This window comes from Homo sapiens, chromosome 14 (genome assembly GCF_000001405.40).
Source record: "Homo sapiens chromosome 14, GRCh38.p14 Primary Assembly".
NCBI classification, from domain to species: Eukaryota; Metazoa; Chordata; class Mammalia; order Primates; family Hominidae; genus Homo; species Homo sapiens.
In genome coordinates this window covers 40,345,574-40,366,767 of record NC_000014.9, presented here as the reverse complement: position 1 = coordinate 40,366,767, position 21,194 = coordinate 40,345,574, and the positions used below count along the sequence as shown (strand labels likewise).

At 37.8% G+C, this 21,194-nt stretch overlaps 2 long non-coding RNA genes across 4 annotated transcripts in view, besides 2 other annotated features; one reads left to right on the top strand and one right to left on the bottom strand.

Moving 5' to 3' along the window:
- The window catches only part of LOC105370462 (uncharacterized), a 72,153-nt gene that overhangs the window by 23,747 nt on the left and 27,212 nt on the right, over positions 1-21,194 (bottom strand). The window contains exon 1 of one of the 3 annotated variants that reach the window (XR_943785.3): positions 10,784-11,512. The exons of the other annotated variants lie outside the window; for them this stretch is intronic. This is a non-coding gene — a long non-coding RNA (uncharacterized LOC105370462). Of the gene's footprint in view, positions 1-10,783; positions 11,513-21,194 lie in introns of those variants that run through there. 3 annotated transcript variants of the gene reach the window in all.
- Positions 17,897-18,507: an enhancer, noted in NCBI's record as "OCT4-NANOG-H3K27ac-H3K4me1 hESC enhancer chr14:40817465-40818075 (GRCh37/hg19 assembly coordinates)". NCBI's record gives its function as "activates a minimal SCP1, AML or CMV promoter by ChIP-STARR-seq in naive H9 embryonic stem cells {active_cell/tissue: H9 hESC(naive)}" and the evidence as "EXISTENCE:reporter gene assay evidence [ECO:0000049][PMID:30033119]".
- The window catches only part of LOC105370463 (uncharacterized), a 117,571-nt gene continuing 114,567 nt past the window's right edge, over positions 18,191-21,194 (top strand). The window contains exon 1 of the long non-coding RNA XR_943786.3: positions 18,191-18,888. This is a non-coding gene — a long non-coding RNA (uncharacterized LOC105370463). The remainder of the gene's footprint in view (positions 18,889-21,194) is intronic.
- Positions 18,508-19,119: an enhancer, noted in NCBI's record as "OCT4-NANOG-H3K27ac-H3K4me1 hESC enhancer chr14:40816853-40817464 (GRCh37/hg19 assembly coordinates)". NCBI's record gives its function as "activates a minimal SCP1, AML or CMV promoter by ChIP-STARR-seq in naive H9 embryonic stem cells {active_cell/tissue: H9 hESC(naive)}" and the evidence as "EXISTENCE:reporter gene assay evidence [ECO:0000049][PMID:30033119]".

Genomic DNA, 21,194 nt, shown 5'->3' with positions numbered 1-21,194 from the left:
AAACTACTTACATTAACAGTAAAGAAATTTAGAAATAAATATATTTAGTATTATAATAATGTCTAGCAACATAAATACAAACAGAAATTAACAGTAGCTATTTTAGGGAGTGGACCTCAGTGTAAAGAGGGCAGAGTTTATTTTTAATTTTGTTACTTTCTTTGTTGTTTGGATATTTTAATATGTTCATATGTCACTTTTATAATTATAATATCAACTATTTATTGACTTGTTCTAAATAATATCATACAACTTCCATTTTAAAATGGCTTTAGCATGCTGTATTTTCCTATCCACATAATTAAATTTTAGTATAACTTAGTATCATATCAGAACATGTGTTTAGTACCTATGAAAGTCTTGTTCATTGCTCAAGATATTCTCAATAGGTGGGCATGAATATTTAATTAAGCTAAAATTCATTTTAAAATTAGCTATTATTTATTTTTTGATCTAGATGTATTAAAATATCCTCTGCAGCAGAAGTTGTCAAACTTTTTTTATTAAGGTTCAGCTAGTAAGTATTTCAGTCTTTGTGGGTCCTAAGTAAGATCTTTGCTGCAAGTATTCAAGTCTGCTGTTGTAGCATGAACATAGCCATGTACAACATGTAAAGAATGATGGTGAGTAAGTTCCAATAAACTTTTATTCACAAAAACAAGTAGTAATATAGATTTGGCTCACAGGTCTTACTTCGCCAACACCTGTTCATGTCTACTTTTCTTGGTGTCTACGTCCTTGTTACTCACTTGCACAATTTTGCCCCATTATAATATATGTCACTGTTAAATTCCTGAGTATGTTTTAACAAAATTCTATCATAGGTCTAAATCATTTACAGATGTTTCTGCTGTTTGCTGGACATTTAACTGCTTTCCTAGTTTTTTTTTCTCTCTCTCTCTCATCAGTTAATTTAATAGATTTATAGCTGGTTTAATAATCTAGATTATTTACACTGAATAGAAACAGGAAGTTCTCCCACATTGAACCCTGAGAAAATGCAATCCACACTTTCATTTTCTCTGTCTGAAAAATAAACTTATATTCAATTCTAATTTCCTGCTGCTTGTAAGTAAAGAATGAAGCTAAACACATTGTGAAGTACTATGGGGAAAAAGCTTATTATACTAAGATAAAAATGATGTGCATTGCAATTCAATTGGTTCTCTGACAGAATGACCTTAATTTCTATTCAGAACACTGTGGTACACTTTCAGATGTAGATGAGATATAATGGGCCTATAGTGAATATTGCCTGTCAGCCTGATAAAACTGACAAGATGAAGAGATAAGGAAGTTCCACATTCACTTATTTTCATGTTTGGCCCTAAGGGTTTTTTGGTATTAGAGCATTGCTGCAGTTTATTCTCTTAAAGCCAGGTTAAGATATTTGTGGAAAGGCTGGGATATGCTCAGAAGGAGACAGCTGACAACAACGTGAGACACGCACAATGGAGCAGAATTCTCTAAACAGTAATTTATGCTGATGCCAGAATTCTTTTTAACACACAAGCCATTTGAAATCCATTGATGTTACTTTCTCAGCTTTGAAGAAACCATTACTGAAAAGTATAGTAAATATTAGGCTCTTTCTCTAGTTCTTAGAACTTACAAGGATGTGTACTATTGGGGCTCAGAAACTGATACCCCCATAGTCAAGGTCTCAGAAGCAGCCTCCTAACAATGTTTCTCTCTGCCTCTTCCTGCCATCCTGTCTCTCACTCCTCATCCTCCCCCAAAGCAAGTCAAAGGAGCTAGAATCCATCTTCGCCACAGTGGGTCATAGAAACCAGCGCCCCTTTCCCCGGCATCCAGCCATAAAACCTAAAAATTGTATTCTAACTTTCCCCACCTTTCTGTGCAAGAAGTGTCCATAAAGAAATTCTCTCTGATCTACCTGGTTTGATTGTAAGTCATCATAAGACTCACTTCAGAAGGGGTCTTGCCCCACACCCATGAGGAAGTAATGCTACACACCCAAACTAAGGAAAATCTGAACAGGCCTTGCTGAGTTTCCCCACTTGGTCTATCAGCATTAGACCATACCCTCTTTGTCCTATCACAGTTCTACACACTTATCCATTCTTCATTGAACCTAAGCATAAAAATGGACAGCTTTCCCTCTATGTTTGGGTCTTTGTCTTGAAGGCTCCTGTGTCCAGTAAAACTAGAAAAAAATACATTTGTTATGCTTTCCCTTGTTAACCTGTCTTTTGTTATATGGGTGTTGGCCATGACCCTTATGATTAGTAAAAAACGGATCACTCCCTTACTCTCCCTACAATACATAGAATTTTATGCTGTAATTTTGTGTAGCCTTGCCTATTAAAGCTTAGAAAAAGGGTTTGTCTTCAGGTGCTGGAACTTTCAGTCTTCACAGAAAATAAGCTGAGATCACTGTAAGATGAATGAGAGTGGGAATGACTGCAGGTCTTATTTCACGTTATGCTTATCCCCGTATCTCCACCTAAGCCTGGGCTCCATACTGGAATGTCACTCCTCTAGTCACCGAATCCTAAAATGTTTTTTCTTCCTTAGTTGCATGCTTTTCTCCCAGTTCTGAAAGCTCCCTACCTTGCATATACTACTATCATGTAAAACATGGTTTTCTGTCTTGCAGCTGTTCAAGACTTATCTCTCTCACTTTTGACTAAGTATAGATAAAGGCTGGCAGATCCTAAAATTATATTCAGTATTTATGTGTGTACTTTCCACCAAGTATTCCTTCCATTTTCAGCACAACAGCTCTTGTCTTCTCTTCTTTTACTAGGAGGGTTAAAAAAATATTTTGGAAATTTTTTTGGTACAACAACTCAGAGTTTGGCTGACTCCAATAAAATCCTTTAAACTGGGGAATGAATGACTTCTCAGGAAGCAAGCTCAGACTATTATTCTTTAATCTTCTCTAACACTAAAACATGTATCTTTAACTGGAGAAGAAAAAAGTTGCTTATAGCCAACAGCCACAGGCAAGCTCACCTCTGAAACAAGCACTGCACTATCTCATACCCCCCAAATCATTACTTTCTACACACATTGAGGCCACACATCATGGTCAAATGGCCAAATAACTCCACCAATCCTTGGCCACTCTGAAAGAAAATCAGGTATTATAGCCCATTTTTCAGATGCTAAACTAACTCTTGAGGAACACGGTTGGAATTTGTTGAACTGCCATTTAATACCTGCTAAACACTGACTGAGAATTGTTGGGGAAATCTAGTGTAACAGTTTAATAGAAAATCTCCTGTAAACCCAGAAAACCTCTTCATAATGGAAGAGAAAGAAAACAGTTTTATTATTGAATAAACATGAAGTCAGAATGTAATGCATATATTGACCTAAAAGGAAGAAGCTGAGGCAAAATTAATGTACATGGAGAGTTTATTTGGACCATGCTTGAGGACTGCAACCCAGGAGCATAGACTAATTCAAGTTGCCCTAAACATACACTCCAGTGACCAGCGGTTAAAAGTGGATTTATAAAGGAAAAGAGAAGGCAGTTCCTGAGTTGTTTATGAAGAATTTGCATTAAAATAACATAAGCTTTTGATTGGCTTACATTGTTATTTGTATGACAAATTCCAGGAACATGAAGATAATGGGTGAGGTAGCTAGTCAGAAATAAAATGACTTGAAACAATTGCCTCCAAGCACAGGTCGGAGGGGCATGACTGATGTCCTATGCTCATGTCTCTCTGGGCCTGCATACCTCACATAGCTCAGATTGCTCTGAAGTATTTTTCTTTTCTTACACATCCTAGGCAACTTACTGCCTGCTACTAAAGAGAAATCTCACTGTTTTAAGCAAGCAGGTAAAAAGCATTGCTTACATGTCATCAAGATAAACAACAATTGGACCTCAAGTAAGGGTCTTGACAGCACTATTTGTTACAAATAGTTCATCTTATACTCACCTACAATTGGTGTGGCCACTTATCTTTGCAAATTTCCTTTATCCAAAAGATCCATAAAACTTCTCAGATTTCTATGAAGGTAGGTATTGTCAGCTCTTGAACAATGCAGAGGTTGTGGGGCACTGAATCCCTACACAGTCAAATATCTGTATATAACTTTTGACTCCCCCCATAATTTAACTACTGATAGCCTATTATTAACCAGAAGCCTTACTGATGATGTACACAGTCAATTAACACATATTTTGCATGTTATATGTATTATATACCATATTCTCACAGTAAAATAAGCTAGAGAAAAGAAAATGTTAAGAAAATCACAAGGAAGAGCAAATATATTTACTATTCATAAAATAGAAGTAGTTCATTATAAAGGTATTCATCTCATCAACTTCATGCTGAGTATGCTGAGGAAGAGAAGGAAGAGGAGGGTTGGTCTTGTTATCTCAGGGGTGGCAGAAGTAGAAGAAAATCCCCATATCAGTAAACCCATATTGGAAGTTTGTTGTTCAAGAGTCAACTTTAGTTACAATTTGGAGCAGATGCCTAAGTTAAACTCCCATGAGAATGGAGAGTGAATGATACTATCTTCCTTGATGTTTACATTTCAAGTAAACGACTCCAAGCACCTTAAAAAAATAGTCTTGGATTGTAAGACTTTAGCTTTTTAAAAGATTCATATACTTCTCAAAGGGATAGAGGAAGAATTCACTATTACTGTACAAGTTTTCTCAAGTAAATGCTATAAGAAAAGGGAGTTCCTGGTGTCTCTTTCCCTTTCTGCACTAGGAAAAAAATCCCATTTTGTTTTGCTTTTCCTTTCCTTTTTTTTTAGATTTCTATTTACCCTTACAGAGTCTTATCTTAAGAAGATGATGTAGCACCATGAATGTCTAGCCTCTTATATCTCCCCTAGGCCCTGTTCACTAGAGTTTCTAGATTTGGGACTACTTTCTTCACATTTTTTAATAAATTAATATACATTGAGAATTCAGGCAGGCCCTCAAAATGGAAATTATGCTCCACGTTATTTATTAATAACTATATATGTGTTCTCCTTAAATTTTCCTAAAATCTTGAAAATTTAGTAAGAGCGTTTGATCGCTGAACCTTTTCCTTCCATAATTTCCTAGTAAATAAAATTTCAACAAGCTACTAATGTGCCATTTTGAATATTTATATAAATCTCAGTTAACCACTAGTTTAAGGACAGTAGTGTGCCTACATAGAAATGATATTTTTCTGTTATTCATTTATATTTAGCCCTTTTAGTTGAACTTTATAAATGTTCACAGCAACTGCTCTAAAAAGTAAGCTCTGTGAAGAGCTGACTGTAGCCTTTGCCTTTGACCAAGATTGGGTGAATAAATACACACATGGATGAATTAATGACCCTTTTTTACTTCAAGTCTATTTATCCTTATAGTGTTTCTTCTGTGTCATTTTACCATAACTCAAAGTGCTTTCTTCTAGCATTTAGTAAAAACCTCTTTCTCAAGTACCTAGTAATAAGCAGGCTCCACTAGTGATTCTTGTTGGAAATGTAATAAAAGACTAATGATATGGCTGTGAAAAATAAATGTACAAGGCTGATATTAATCTTTAAAAATCAATTATTAGATGCAGTAATAAAAGTGACCTCTACGTGTTTTCTTAAAAATACACACACATATGCTATATGATTTCTAAAATCACAAGCTAACCTGCAAATACATGTGTGCACATGAACACACAAAGTTTTAAAACAAATAAATTTTGTCTGTAATGTTAAAAGTTAGAGAACAGCTAACAAATTCCATTAGACACTAAACAACAGAAAAACAAGAATTGCAATGTGAATACCTGAATTCAATTGAAAAATTCTATGAAGCAATTAGTTTACAGTAAAGTTATAACTCCTGGAAACCATTAGGCTTTCAAAATAATGACTCAATTGATCTATCAATCCATCAATGCATATGTACTCTCCTATAGACATATATAAAGAGCAAACAAAAAAAACAGAAAAGTATACTTGTATAGTCATATTGATGATAATAACATACATTTTTAGTACTTAACAGATGTATTAGTCTGTTTTCACACTGCTGGTAAAGACATACCCAAGACTGGGTAATTTATAAAGAAAAATAGGTTTAATGGACTCACAGTTCCACTTGGCTGGGGAGGCCTCACAATCATGGTAGAAGGCAAAAAGGAGCAAGTCACATCCCACGTGGTGGCAGTGAAGAGAGAACTTGTACAGAGGAACTCCTTTTTATAAAACCATCAGATCTCACGAGATTCATTCACTATCACAAGAACAGCACGGGAAAGACCTGTCCCCGTAATTCAACCACCTCCCACCAGGTCCCTCAGACAGCACATGAGAATTGTGGGAGCTACAATTCAAGATGAGATTTGGATGGGGACACAGCCCAACCATATAATTCTGCCCTGGCCCCTCCCAAATCTCATGTCCTCACATTTCAAAGCCAATCATGCCTTCCCAACAGTCCCCAAAAATCTTAATGCATTTCAGCATTAACTCAAAAGTCCAAGTCCAAAGTCTCATCTGAGACAAGGCAAGTCCCTTCTGCCACTGAGCCTGTAAAATCAAAAGCAAGTTAGTGCTTCCTAGATACAATGGGGGTACAGGTATTGGGTGAATAAAGCCATTCCAAATGGGAGAAATTGGCCAAAATGAAGAGACTACCGGCCCCATGCAAGTTCGAAATCCAGAGGGGCAGTCAAATCTTAAAGTTCCAGAATGATCGCCTTTGACTTCATGTCTCATATCCAGGTCATACTGATGCAAGAGATGGGTTCCCATGGTCTTGGGCCACTCCACCCATGTGGCTTTGAAGGGTAAAGCCTCCCTCCTGGCTGCTTTCACAGGCTGGCATTGAGTGTCTGCAGCTTTCCCAGGCACATGGTGCAAGCTGTCAGTGAATCTACCATTCTGAGGTCTGAAGGATGGTGACCTTCTTCTCACAGCTCCACTAGGCAATGCCCCAGTCTGGGCTCTGTGTGGAGGCTTCAACCAGAGGTTCTCCATGAGGACCCCACCCCTGCAACAAACTTCTACTTGGACATCCATGCATTTCCATGCATCTTGTGAAATCTAGGCGGAGGTTCCCAAACCTCAGTTCTTGACTTCTGTTCACCTGCGGGCTCAACACCACTTGGAAGCTGCCAAGGCTTGGGACTTGCACCTCCTGAAGCCAAGGCATGACCTATACCTTGGCCTATTTTAGCAATGACTAGAGCTGCCAGGCTGGGATGCAGGGCATCAAGTCCCTAGGCTGCACATAGCAGGGGGGTCCTGGGCCTGGCCCATGTAACCACTTTTTCCTCCTAGGCTTCCAGGCCTGTGATGGGAGGGGCTGTCACAAAGATCTGTGACATGCCCTGAAGTCATTTTCCCCATTGTCTTGGTGATTAACATTTGGCTCCTTGTTACTTATGCAAATTTCTGCAGCCAGCTTGAATTTCTCTTCAGAAAATGGGTTTTTCTTTTCAATTGCATGGTCAGGTTACATATTTTCTGAACTTTTATGCTCTGTTTCCCTTTTAAAATTGAATGCTTTTAACAGCACACAAGTTATCTCTTGAATGCTTTGCTGCTTAGAAATTTATTCCACCATATAACCTAAATCATCCCCTTTGAGTTCAAAGTTCCACAGATCTCTAGGGCAGGTGCAAAATGCCACCAGTGTCTTTGCTAACACATAGCAAAAATCACCTTTACTCCAGTTCCCAATAAGTTCCTCATTTCCATCTGAGACCACCTCAGTCTGGATTTCATTGTCCATATCATTATCAGCATTTTGGTCAAAGCCACTCAACAAGTCTCTAGGAAGTTCCAACCTTTCCCACATTTTCCTGTCTCCCTCTGAGCCCTCCAAAACTGTTCCAACCTCTGCCTGTTACCCAGTTCCAAAGTCGCTTCCACATTTTCAGGTATCTTTACAGTAGCACCCCACTCTACCAGTACCAATTTACTGTATTAGTCCATTTTCACACTGCTGATAAAGACATACCCGAGACTGGGTAATTTATAAAGAAAAAGAGGTTTAATGGACTCACAGTTCCACGTGGCTGGGGCAGCCTCACAATCATGGCAGAAGGCAAGGAGGAGTAAGTCACATACTACATGGCAGCAGGGAAGAGAGTGTGTGCAGGGGAACTCTTCTTTATAAAACCATCAGATAATGTGAGACCCATTCACTATCACAGGAACAGCATGAGAAAGATTTGCCCCATCATTCAACTACCTCCCACAGAGTCCCTCCTACTACATGTGGGAATTGTGGGAGCTACAATTCAAGATGAGAATTAGGTGGAAACACAGCCAAACCATATCAACAGATTAAGTGTAAAAAAATACTGAGAATTTATGTCATATGAGCAAAACAATATATTTTGTATTAAGTAAAAATATATCAAACTCTGCCTCTAAGAAACAGTTAGCTTTCTTGTGTAGGTGGAATATTTACATAAAATTGACTAATTCTAAAAATATAAAGTAATGCAAGCAACAAAATTAATCACAAAACTATAAACAAAAGATTGTTTAGGGAAAAATAATCCATCTAATGGGATCAATGAGTAAATCTAAACTTTACAGAAATTTTTAAAATAAAAAATAATGAGAACAAACCATCAAGTTTCATAGAATTTTTCCAACATAACATTCTCAAAGAAAAACATATAATATTTAATTTTTTATTAAATAAAAAACTATGACAATACATTAACTAAGTTTTAAATTAAAAGTATAAATCCAATTGTAAATTGCAGTTTTCAGGGATATAATATGAAAAAAACCTGACAAAGCTTACAGGATTTTCCCCAAAACTATACTCAGAGAAAAATATTTTTCAATAGTGTTTATTAATAAACAACAATAATCATAACTAAAATTAATTTGGTTTTCAAATTTATAATTAAACAAATGTAATGAAAGTCAAATACAGCAATGTTAAATGATATAGATAGATACAGTTAGGGAGTAATTCATTAATCTTATCTCCATTGTGTCACTTTTTTCTTTTATTTATTATTATTCATATTATTTTTTACTATTTTAGAGATAGGCTTGCTCTGTCACCCAAGCTATACTCCAGTGACACTATCAAAGCTCACTGTAGCCTCCAACTCCTTGCCTCAAGCAATCCTCCTATCCTGGCCTCCCAAAGCATTGGAATTACAAGCATGAGCCACTGTACTCAGCCACTGTCTGTCCTTTTAAACACCTACATCCAAGTACCAATTTTCTGCTTGACTCTATGTTTTTAGAGTCCTGTGAGAGAAGTTCATTTTACACTCTCATAAGCAAAATAAGAGAATGCATTGACTTATGCTGTGGCTTGAGTGTATGTGTCCCTCCAAAATTCATATGCGAGAACTTAAACCCCAAGGTGATGGTATTAAGAGGTAGAGATTTTGAGAGGTTATTAGAGGATGAGGGCTCTGCTTTTATGAATGGGATTAATGCTCTTATAAAAGTGGCTTCAGAGAGCTGCCTGATTCTTTCATCTCTTCTGCCATGTGGGGATACACCATTCCTCCCTTTTGCCCTTCCATTATGTGAGGACACAGAAGGGAGGCACCATTTTGGAAGGAGAGAGCAGCCCTCACGAAACACCAAATCTGTTGGTTCCTTAATCTTAAATTACCAAGCTTCTACTACTATGAGAAATACATTTTTACTGTTTATATATTACCCAGTCTGTGGTATTGTGTTACAGCATCCCTAGCAAACCTAGACAGCTTATATAACCTAGAAGCCTTATCTAGATGCTCAATAATTTGTTTCTCTTGATTTTCTCTCTTTTTCATCTCTGTCTCCCATTCTTCACCCTCCACTTTCTTCCCTCCATTTCTTCCTCTATTCATTTTTATCTTTTTATACTTTATATTATCTTTTCCTACATTCCTGGAAAATGTCTACAAGGTCTTAAATCTCTACTTAGTAGTCCAGAGCCAGATAAATGGTCATATATTCACCCTATATTAAGATATGGACCAGACATTTTGACAGTGTGATTTGCTGGCTTTTTTTTTTGGAGGTGGGGTGCTTCTGGCAAGAAAGACATAATTTCAGTCCATGCTTACTCATTTGAAACCAGAATGAGACATTTAAGTTTTTTAAATAGGTACTTTTTTTCCATGAATCCATGGACTGTTATCTAAAAACAGTTATTAAATTGCAAAATAAGACAAAGTGAGACGGTTCATGCTAGTAATCCCAGCACTTTGGAAGACCAAGGCAGGAGGAGTGCTTGAATCTGGGAGTTTAAGAACAGCTTGGGCAATACAGGAACATGTTGTCTCCAAAAAAAAAAAAAAAGAAAAGAAAAGAAAAGAAAGAAAAAGAAACATAAAACAATGAAAATTTCTACCATGTGCTAAAAATAAAGCTCAATATCACAGAGAGAAATACAAATGGTAGAGATAAGTAGTAGACATGTACTGTCTAACTTTTGCTACAATATGCGATATACACTTAGAACTTTAATAGCATAAAATCACAATAATTTGTCCCTTGGTACTGTATATTGGCAATGTGGGATGCGCATAGCTGTGGATTCTTCTGCTCATCTCAGCTGGCTGGCTGGCTGAAGATGATCAGTCTGGATGGCTTCATTCACATGTATGATGTTTGGTTAGAGTGACAGAGGCAAATAGGTCACATGTCCAGTACCTAACAAAGTCAGGCTTCTTCCCTTAGTGTCTGAGTTCTAAAAGTAGCAAGAGAAGCCAATGTCTAGTGCACTAGCGCTTTTCATGCCCCTTCTTATGTCACATTTGCTAAGGTCCCATTAGTCAAAGCAAGTTACATGGTCAAAGTTTGATTTAAGGGATTGAGAGGTAAAACTCACCTTTTGATGTGATTACCAACAGTCACATTGCTAAGGGGTATTGATGCATAAATATCTTGACTTTTTTGTAGGGAGAGGTAGTTTGCAATCTCAGAGAAGCTTGAACCTTAAGGTAACACTCAAATACCTCCTGCTGTTCTCACCATTCTCTTTCCACTAGATTGTAAATAAAAATTGCTGAGTGAAAAAGCAAGTTGCAGTAGAATGTGTGTATTAAATATGTATTGTACATATATATTTAAAAGCACATACAACACAACTTTAATGCTTACGGACATATATAGCTCTAAATAAAGGTAGAAATGAAGGATGGGCAGATTAAGCAGTTAATTTGTGTTAATGTGTATTTATGGTGAGAAGAAAAGATATTCAAATAGTAGACTAAAATATAGAAAAAAATGGGGTCTCAACTAAGGAGGATGATAGGGTGAATCAATGTCAATCTGATGAGTACCATAAATGAATTAAAAATTAGCAATACAGGGCAAGGAAATTTGTTTTGACAAAAAAAGTATATACACCTGTCATTTAGTAAAGGTCCTGGTTTTTTTTGTGTGTGTGTCAATCTATGAAGTGACTGTAAATATGACTTTGACAAGAATGTGTAAGTTAGATAGATAGATAGATATTCACTTCTCCATTCCTGGCTTTAGATCATTTTTCTGTTGCTGCTTCACAAGGCAAATCTTCCAGTTATCCTTGATTTTGTCTGCTCCATTGAGACATGAACATTTTTGTCAAGATCTTGACTTTTGATTTAATACTTACAATATTATACTCATTGAGCTAAGATATGTTTAAATTTATTTTTATATATTTATATATGGATATATATAGATTTTTTACAATATTTCCAGCCCATATCAAACAGAAATATAGCCAAATTGAGGTGTTGATATCTCCTTTTGTCTACAGAGTATGCCAGCTGGTTTGCTGAAGGCTCAGCTGGTAATTGTGCATAAGAGACCGCTGCTCTTAAGACATCACGATGCAAAAGTTTCACATATTCAGGTAAGTAATCTCCATTAACACAATAAAAGTTAAATGGACACATTGATATGCAAAAGTGAAACAATTCAAATAAATATAATAGAATGGCTTAGGTTTAGGCTTAAGCTTAATGCAACATCTCTAAATGAACAAATGGAACAGTTTTCAAAACAGAAATTTTCCATGAGGGAATGGATCATATACTGCAGTGCAGAGGATTTGATTAGATACTCAACAGCAATGTTTTTTATTAATAATATTTAGATTGATGCTGAGCAGGAGTAATTAAAAAACACGATGACTTTGAAGCTCCTTGTAGATTAAGGTTTAACTAATAATATTGAGTTAAACGTACCACATAATTATCCTTTGTGCCACAAATGACTGATAAATAAATGAATGAATACTGGTCCCATTTCCATGCACTTCTCCTGTCCCTTTCTCTCTGTTATTTATTATGCCTATGGTCAGGTACACCCAGGATCACTTCCTCTCTTCTCCTGGCCTTAGATGCTATTTCTGCTGCTGCCTTATAAGGCAACTCTTCCAGTTATCCTTAACTTTGCATATCTTCTCAGCGCAAAAATAAAAATATTTGTCAAAATCCTATGTTTTGGTTCTATAATTATAATATTATTCAACTAAAGGTATTTAATAGAGTTAAAGTAGGGGCCTACTAGTTTCTTACAGCCACGTACATGTACTTGGATGATTTTTCTTTTTTTCTTTTTTTTTTTTTACAAGTTAAATGATTTTTAATTCAATATTGATTCCCATTAATGTATTTGTCTAGCTGCAGAGTGCTTTTGTGGTCAAGATGGGGGAAGGTCCTTATTCTTAGACCAAATACTTCTTTTTTTTTTGTTTGTTTTTAGCTAAAGCACTTTTATTTATTTATTTATTTATTTAATATATTTTTTTATTATACTTTAAGTTTTAGGGTACATCTGCACATTGTGCAGGTTAGTTACATATGTATACATGTGCCATGCTGGTGCGCTGCACCCACTAACTCGTCATCTAGCATTAGGTATATCACCTGATGCTATCCCTAGCCCCTCCCCCCACCCCACAACAGTCACCAGAGTGTAATATTCCCCTTCCTGTGTCCATGTATTCTCATTGTTCAATTCCCACCTATGAGTGAGAATATGCAGTGTTTGTTTTTTTGTTCTTGCGATACTTTACTGAGAATGATGATTTCCAATTTCATCCATGTCCCTACAAAGGACATGAACTCATCATTTTTTGTGGCTGCATAGTATTCCATGGTGTATATGTGCCCCATTTTCTTAATCCAGTCTATCATTGTTGGACATTTGGGTTGGGTCCAAATCTTTGCTATTGTGAATAATGCCGCAATAAACATACGTGTGCATGTGTCTTTATAGCAGCATGATTTATAGTCATTTGGGTATATACCCAGTAATGGGATGGCTGGGTCAAATGGTATTTCCAGATCTAGAACCCTGAGGAATCGCCACACTGACTTCCACAATGGTTGAACTAGTTTACAGTCCCACCAAGAGTGTAAAAGTGTTTCTATTTCTCCACATCCTCTCCAGCACCTGTTTTTTCCTGACTTTTTAAAGATTGCCATTCTAACTGGTGTGAGATGGTATCTCATTGTGGTTTTGATTTGCATTTCTCTGATGGCAAGTGATGATGAGCATTTTTTCATGTGTTTTTTGGCTGCATAAATGTCTTCTTTTGAGAAGTGTCTGTTCAAGTCCTTTGCCCACTTTTTGATGGGGTTGTTTGTTTTTTTCTTGTAAGTTTGTTTGAGTTCATTGTAGATTCTGGATATTAGCCCTTTGTCAGATGAGTAGGTTGTGAAAATTTTCTCCCATTTTGTAGGTTGCCTGTTCACTCTGATGGTAGTTTCTTTTGCTATGCAGAAGCTCTTTAGTTTAATTAGATCCCATTTGTCAATTTTGGCTTTTGTTGCCATTGCTGTTGGTGTTTTAGACATGAAGTCCTTGCCCATGCCTATGTCCTGAATGGTAATGCCTAGGTTTTCTTCTAGGGTTTTTATGGTTTTAGGTCTAACGTTTAAGTCTTTAATCCATTTGAATTGATTTTTGTATAAGGTGTAAGGAAGGGATCCAGTTTCAGCTTTCTACATATGGCTAGCCAGTTTTCCCAGCACTATTTATTAAATAGGGAATCCTTTCCCCATTGCTTATTTTTCTCAGGTTTATCAAAGATCAGATAGTTGTAGATATACGGCGTTATTTCTGAGGTCTCTGTTCTGTTCCGTTGATCTATATCTCTGTTTTGGTACCAGTACCATGCTGTTTTGGTTACTGTAGCCTTGTAGTATAGTTTGAAGTCAGGTAGTGTGATGCCTCCAGCTTTGTTCTTTTGGCTTAGGATTGACTTGGCGATGCGGGCTCTTTTTTGGTTCCATATGAACTTTAAAGTAGGTTTTTCCAATTCTGTGAAGAAAGTCATTGGTAGCTTGATGGGGATGGCATTGAATCTGTAAATTACCTTGGGCAGTATGGCCATTTTCACGATATTGATTCTTCCTACCCATGAGCATGGAATGTTCTTCCATTTGTTTGTATCCTCTTTTATTTCCTTGAGCAGTGGTTTGTAGTTCTCCTTGAAGAGGTCCTTCACATCCCTTGTAAGTTGGATTCCTAGGTATTTTCTCTTTGAAGCAATTGTGAATGGGAGTTCACTCATGATTTGTCTCTCTGTTTGTCTGTTGTTGGTGTATAAGAATGCTTGTGATTTTTGCACATTGATTTTGTATCCTGAGACTTTGCTGAAGTTGCTTATCAGCTTAAGGAGATTTTGGGCTGAGACAATGGGGTTTTCTAGATATACAATCATGTCATCTGCAAACAGGGACAATTTGACTTCCTCTTTTCCTAATTGAATACCCTTTATTTCCTTCTCCTGCCTAATTGCCCTGGCCAGAACTTCCAACACTATGTTGAATAGGAGTGGTGAGAGAGGGCATCCCTGTCTTGTGCCAGTTTCCAAAGGGAATGCTTCCAGTTTTTGCCCATTCAGTATGATATTGGCTGTGGGTTTGTCATAGATAGCTCTTATTATTTTGAAATACATCCCATCAATACCTAATTTATTGAGAGTTTTTAGCATGAAGGGTTGTTGAATTTTGTCAAAGGCTTTTTCTGCATCTATTGAGATAATCATGTGGTTTTTGTCTTTGGCTCTGTTTATATGCTGGATTACATTTATTGATTTGCATATATTCAACCAGCCTTGCATCCCAGGGATGAAGCCCACTTGATCATGGTGGATAAGCTTTTTGATGTGCTGCTGGATTCGGTTTGCCAGTATTTTATTGAGGATTTTTGCATCAATGTTCATCAAGGATATTGGTCTAAAATTCTCTTTTTTTTGTTGTGTCTCTGCCTGGCTTTGGTATCAGAATGATGCTGGCCTCATAAAATGAGTTAGGGAGGATTCCCTCTTTTTCTATTGATTGGAATAGTTTCAGAAGGAATGGTACCAGTTCCTCCTTGTACCTCTGGTAGAATTCGGCTGTGAATCCATCTGGTCCTGGACTCTTTTTGGTTGGTAAACTATTGATTATTGCCAGAATTTCAGCTCCTGTTATTGGTCTATTCAGAGATTCAACTTCTTCCTGGTTTAGTCTTGGGAGAGTGTATGTGTCCAGGAATTTATCCATTTCTTCTAGATTTTCTAGTTTATTTGCGTAGAGGTGTTTGTAGTATTCTCTGATGGTAGTTTGTATTTCTGTGGGATCAGTGGTGATATCCCCTTTATCATTTTTTATTGCATCTATTTGATTCTTCTCTCTTTTTTTCTTTCTTAGTCTTGCTAGCGGTCTATCAATTTTGTTGAGCCTTTCAAAAAACCAGCTCCTGGATTCATTAATTTTTTGAAGGGTTTTTTGTGTCTCTATTTCCTTCAGTTCTGCTCTGATTTTAGTTATTTCTTGCCTTCTGCTAGCTTTTGAATGTGTTTGCTCTTGCTTTTCTAGTTCTTTTAATTGTGATGTTAGGGTGTCAATTTTGGATCTTTCCTGCTTTCTCTTGTGGGCATTTAGTGCTATAAATTTCCCTCTACACACTGCTTTGAATGCGTCCCAGAGATTCTGGTATGTTGTGTCTTTGTTCTCGTTGGTTTCAAAGAACATCTTTATTTCTGCCTTCATTTCATTATGTACCCAGTAGTCATTCAGGAGCAGGTTGTTCACTTTCCATGTAGTAGAGCGGTTTTGAGTGAGATTCTTAATCCTGAGTTCTAGTTTGATTGCACTGTGGTCTGAGAGAGAGTTTGTTATAATTTCTGTTCTTTTACATTTGCTGAGGAGAGCTTTACTTCCCAGTATGTGGTCAATTTTGGAATAGGTGTGGTGTGGTGCTGAAAAAAATGTATATTCTGTTGATTTGGGGTGGAGAGTTCTGTAGATGTCTATTAGGTCTGCTTGGTGCAGAGCTGAGTTCAATTCCTGGGTATCCTTGTTGACTTTCTGTCTCGTTGATCTGTCTAATGTTGACAGTGGGGTGTTAAAGTCTCCCATTATTAATGTGTGGGAGTCTAAGTCTCTTGTAGGTCACTCAGGACTTGCTTTATGAATCTGGGTGCCCCTGTATTGGGTGCATATATATTTAGGATAGTTAGCTCTTCTTGTTGAATTGATCCCTTTACCATTATGTAATGGCCTTCTTTGTCTCTTTTGATCTTTGTTGGTTTAAAGTCTGTTTTATCAGAGACTAGGATTGCAACCCCTGCCTTTTTTTGTTTTCTATTGGCTTGGTAGATCTTCCTCCATCCTTTTATTTTGAGCCTATGTGTGTCTCTGCAAGTGAGATGGGTTTCCTGAATACAGCACACTGATGGGTCTTGACTCTTTATCCAATTTGCCAGTCTGTGTCTTTTAATTGGAGAATTTAGTCCATTTACATTTAAAGTTAATATTGTTATGTGTGAATTTGATCCTGTCATTATGATGTTAGCTGGTGATTTTGCTCGTTAGTTGATGCAGTTTATTCCTAGTCTCGATGGTCTTTACATTTTGGCATGATTTTGCAGTGGCTGGTACCGGTTGTTCCTTTCCATGTTTAGTGCTTCCTTCAGGAGCTCTTGTAAGGCAGGCCTGGTGGTGACAAAATCTCTCAGCATTTGCTTGTCTGTAAAGGATTTTATTTCTCCTTCACTTATGAAGCTTAGTGTGGCTGGATATGAAATTCTGGGTTGAAAATTCTTTTCTTTAAGAATGTTGAATATTGGCCCCCACTCTCTTCTGGCTTGTAGGGTTTCTGCCGAGAGATCTGCTGTTAGTCTGATGGGCTTCCCTTTGAGGGTAACCCGACCTTTCTCTTTGGCTGCCCTTAACATTTTTTCCTTCATTTCAACTTTGGTGAATCTGACAATTATGTGTCTTGGAGTTGCTCTTCTCGAGGAGTATCTTTGTGGCGTTCTCTGTATTTCCTGAATCTGAACGTTGGCCTGCCTTGCTAGATTGGGGAAGTTCTCCTGGATAATATCCTGCAGAGTGTTTTCCAACTTGGTTCCATTCTCCCCGTCACTTTCAGGTACACCAATCAGACGTAGATTTGGTCTTTTCACATAGTCCCATATTTCTTGGAGGCTTTGCTCATTTCTTTTTATTCTTTTTTCTCTATACTTCCCTTCTCCCTTCATTTCATTCATTTCATCTTCCATTGCTGATACCCTTTCTTCCAGTTGATCGCATTGGCTCCTGAGGCTTCTGCATTCTTCACGTAGTTCTCGAGCCTTGGTTTTCAGCTCCATCAGCTCCTTTAAGCACTTCCCTGTATTGGTTATTCTAGTTATACATTCTTCTAAATTTTTTTCAAAGTTTTCAACTTCTTTGCCTTTGGTTTGAATGTCCTCCCGTAGCTCAGAGTAATTTGATCGTCTGAAGCCTTCTTCTCTCAGCTCGTCAAAGTCATTCTCCATCCAGCTGTGTTCCATTGCTGGTGAGGAACTGCGTTCCTTTGGAGGAGGAGAGGTGCTCTGCTTTTTAGAGTTTCCAGCTTTCTGTTCTGTTTTTTTCCCCATCTTTGTGGTTTTATCTACTTTTGGTCTTTGATGATGATGGTGATGTATAGATGGGTTTTTGGTGTGGATGTCCTTTCTGTTTGTTAGTTTTCCTTCTAACAGAGAGGACCCTCAGCTGCAGGTCTGTTGGAATACCCTGCCTTGTGAGGTGTCAGTGTGCCCCTGCTGGGGGGTGCCTCCCAGTTAGGCTGCCTGGGGGTCAGGGGTCAGGGACCCACTTGAGGAGGCAGTCTGCTGGTTCTCAGATCTCCAGCTGCATGCTGGGAGAACCAGTGCTCTCTTCAAAGCTGTCAGACAGGGACATTTAAGTCTGCAGAGGTTACTGCTGTCTTTTTGTCTGTGCCCCGCCCCCAGAGGTGGAGCCTACAGAGGCAGGCAGGACTCCTTGAGCTGTGGTGGGCTCCACCCAGTTCGAGCTTCCAGGCTGCTTTGTTTACCTAATCAAGCCTGGGCAATGGCAGGCGCCCCTCCCCCAGCCTCGCTGCCGCCTTGCAGTTTGATCTCAGACTGCTGTGCTAGCAATCAGCGCGACTCTGTGGGCGTAGGACCCTCCAAGCCAGGTGCCGGATATAATCTCGTCGTGCGCCGTTTTTTAAGCCCGTCGTAAAAGCGCAGTATTCGGGTGGGAGTGACCCGATTTTCCAGGTGCCGTCCGTCACCCCTTTCTTTGACTCAAAAAGGGAACTGGCTGACCCCTTGCGCTTCCCAAGTGAGGCAATGCCTCGCCCTGCTTAGGCTCGCGCACGGTGCAGGCACCCACTGACCTGCGCCAACTGTCTGGCACTCCCTAGTGAGATGAACCTGGTACCTCAGATGGAAATGCAGAAATCACCTGTCTTCTGCGTCGCTCACGCTGGGAGCCGTAGACCGGAGCTGTTCCTATTCGGCCATCTTGGCTCCTCCACCCGGATGATTTTTCTTACTTTCTATAGTCCTCATTCTATAACTTTTGATCCAAATTATTCCAGAGATTGGATTAAAAACAAATGGATGTGGCATACAGGGAGCATCTCAAATCATTCATTCTCACCAGCAGGTCTCATGTGCTCCGAAACCAACTTGAAGCACTCTCCTTCTTCCTCTAGGTGAGTCTCTTCCTCTTCAGGTAAACTACTTTGGAGCTTAAGGATTGTATCTCTCCCCTCACCTGCTCACGTCTGTCTCATTTTATTTGATAGGTGTCAGCTGTCCCTGGCATACAATGTCCCTTTCCACTAGGTATACAGGCTAAAAAAAAAATTACTCACATCATCTTGTGTTGAAATCCCTGAATTCCTAGAATGAGACATAAAATATTAAGAACATCACTGCCTCTTAACTTCACCACACTGTTAAAAATATAACCTTTATGTGTGATTGAAGAAAAGAGCAGTCTGTATTTTCAGAGAAGCATCATGACCTACTGATAAAACAAATTTTTAAAGCACAAATTCCTCATAGAGCATTAAAAATATATCATGGGTGCTTCTTTCTACATATTCTCTCAATTTATTTCCCTACCACAATGTATTCTACAATCTAGACACACCAAACTAATTATAGTTACTTGAATATAGTGTTTTGTCTTGTCTCTGTATTTTCCATATGCTATTTTTTACGCCAGTAATGCAGTGCTTTTAAAACATTTTAGATGATAACACTAAGATTTATATTTTAAAGAGCAGCCAAGTAATAAATATGTGCGTTTATGTCTGTGTGTATGTGTGTAAGGAAACATTTTTTTCACATAAAAATCTTTAATCTTAATACATGTGATGCATCTCATAATTTTTATTCATCTGTTTAATTTTTAAATATACTGATCATAATTTACTAGACTGATTGTATAAAATCTTAGTGTCATGACTTTAACCTAGTATAGAAAAAAATAGTAGGATCGTCTTTTCTTTTCAATTTAGTAGATAATTCCCTGTTTTTTCACACTACTCTGGATTATTATGGATGGATGACTCATGAATTCTATGCATTCAATAACTAATATTCTTAGAAGCAGAGAAAAATTTCTTAAAATGAGGCCATTGAAGTACAATGCTTACTTGTCATTTGGCTTACAAGTATCAGAAATAAGCATCAATGAACTAAGAATGTATTCTCAAGATGAAATACTTTTTCCTAATCTCATAGCTGTCAGACTACTATAGAATAGAAACTAATGCTTGTCAAAAGTTATAACCCAGATTAGAGTTGTCTTATGAGCATTCGATGCAAAACCACCACCAAGCAATATCTTCCTTAATTAGAAATGTGTTTTCTGGAGGGACAAACTAAATCAAAATTACAAAAATCCGAAATCCAACTTTAACTGTACATTTTAATTTAAATTAAATTTGCATGTATTCAAGGTGAAAGTTTTAAAGCACTACACAAATTAACATAGTAGATTTTTCAAACATATATTGCCTTCATCTTGTGGGGAAAATGAATAAAATTAATGTGTTATAATACCCATGAGACCGCAAGTACAGTGCACTTTGGAAAAACTTAGAGTAAATTGCTTGAAATTACTGTCAGCATCAAAGTTCAGGCTGACAAGAAGCCTCTCAGTATCACAATTTAAACTGAATAATCTGTAGTCACATCATGTACTCTCTATTCTATTGCTAGTCTCTACTTTCGTTCTATCTCTACCAGTGTAAAGCTTGATTTCAGCATTTAAGATACAAATTAAATTTATTAACAGATAGATTATTTGAAGTATTACCCTTAAACAAAGACTTTCTCAAAGCATGCTCAGATTTAATGCCAATCAAAAGTTAAGTCAAGGCCGGGCGCGGTGGCTCACGCCTGTAATCCCAGCACTTTGGGAGGCCGAGGCGGGTGGATCACGAGGTCAGGAGATCGAGACCATCCTGGCTAGCACGGTGAAACCCCGTTTCTACTAATAATACAAAAAATTAGCCGGGCGCGATGGCGGGTGCCTGTAGTCCCAGCTACTCGGGAGGCTGAGGCAGAAGAATGGCATGAACCCAGGAGGCGGAGCTTGCAGTGAGTGGAGATGGTGCCACTGCACTCCAGCCTGGGCGACAGAGCGAGACTCTGTCTCAGGAAAAAAAAAAAAAAAAAAAAAATTAAGTCAAATTATTTAAACCCTACCCTACAAAGTTAAAGATTACTTTTTTAAACATAATGCAAATTGAAATATATCATATATAGAGAGAAGTACAAAAAAATCACAAAAGTACAGTTCAGTAAATGTTCACAAACTGCACATACTCATAGAAATATGACCCAGAACTCTCAGCACAAAGAGGCCCTCAAATGGCCCTCTAGTTTCTTTTCCTTCGTTGTCAAGAGTAACCTCTATCCTGAATTCTATCACTTACATATGCCTTTTCTATAATTGATATAAATTGAATCATAGAGTGATGCACTTTCCTGCATACAGTTTGTC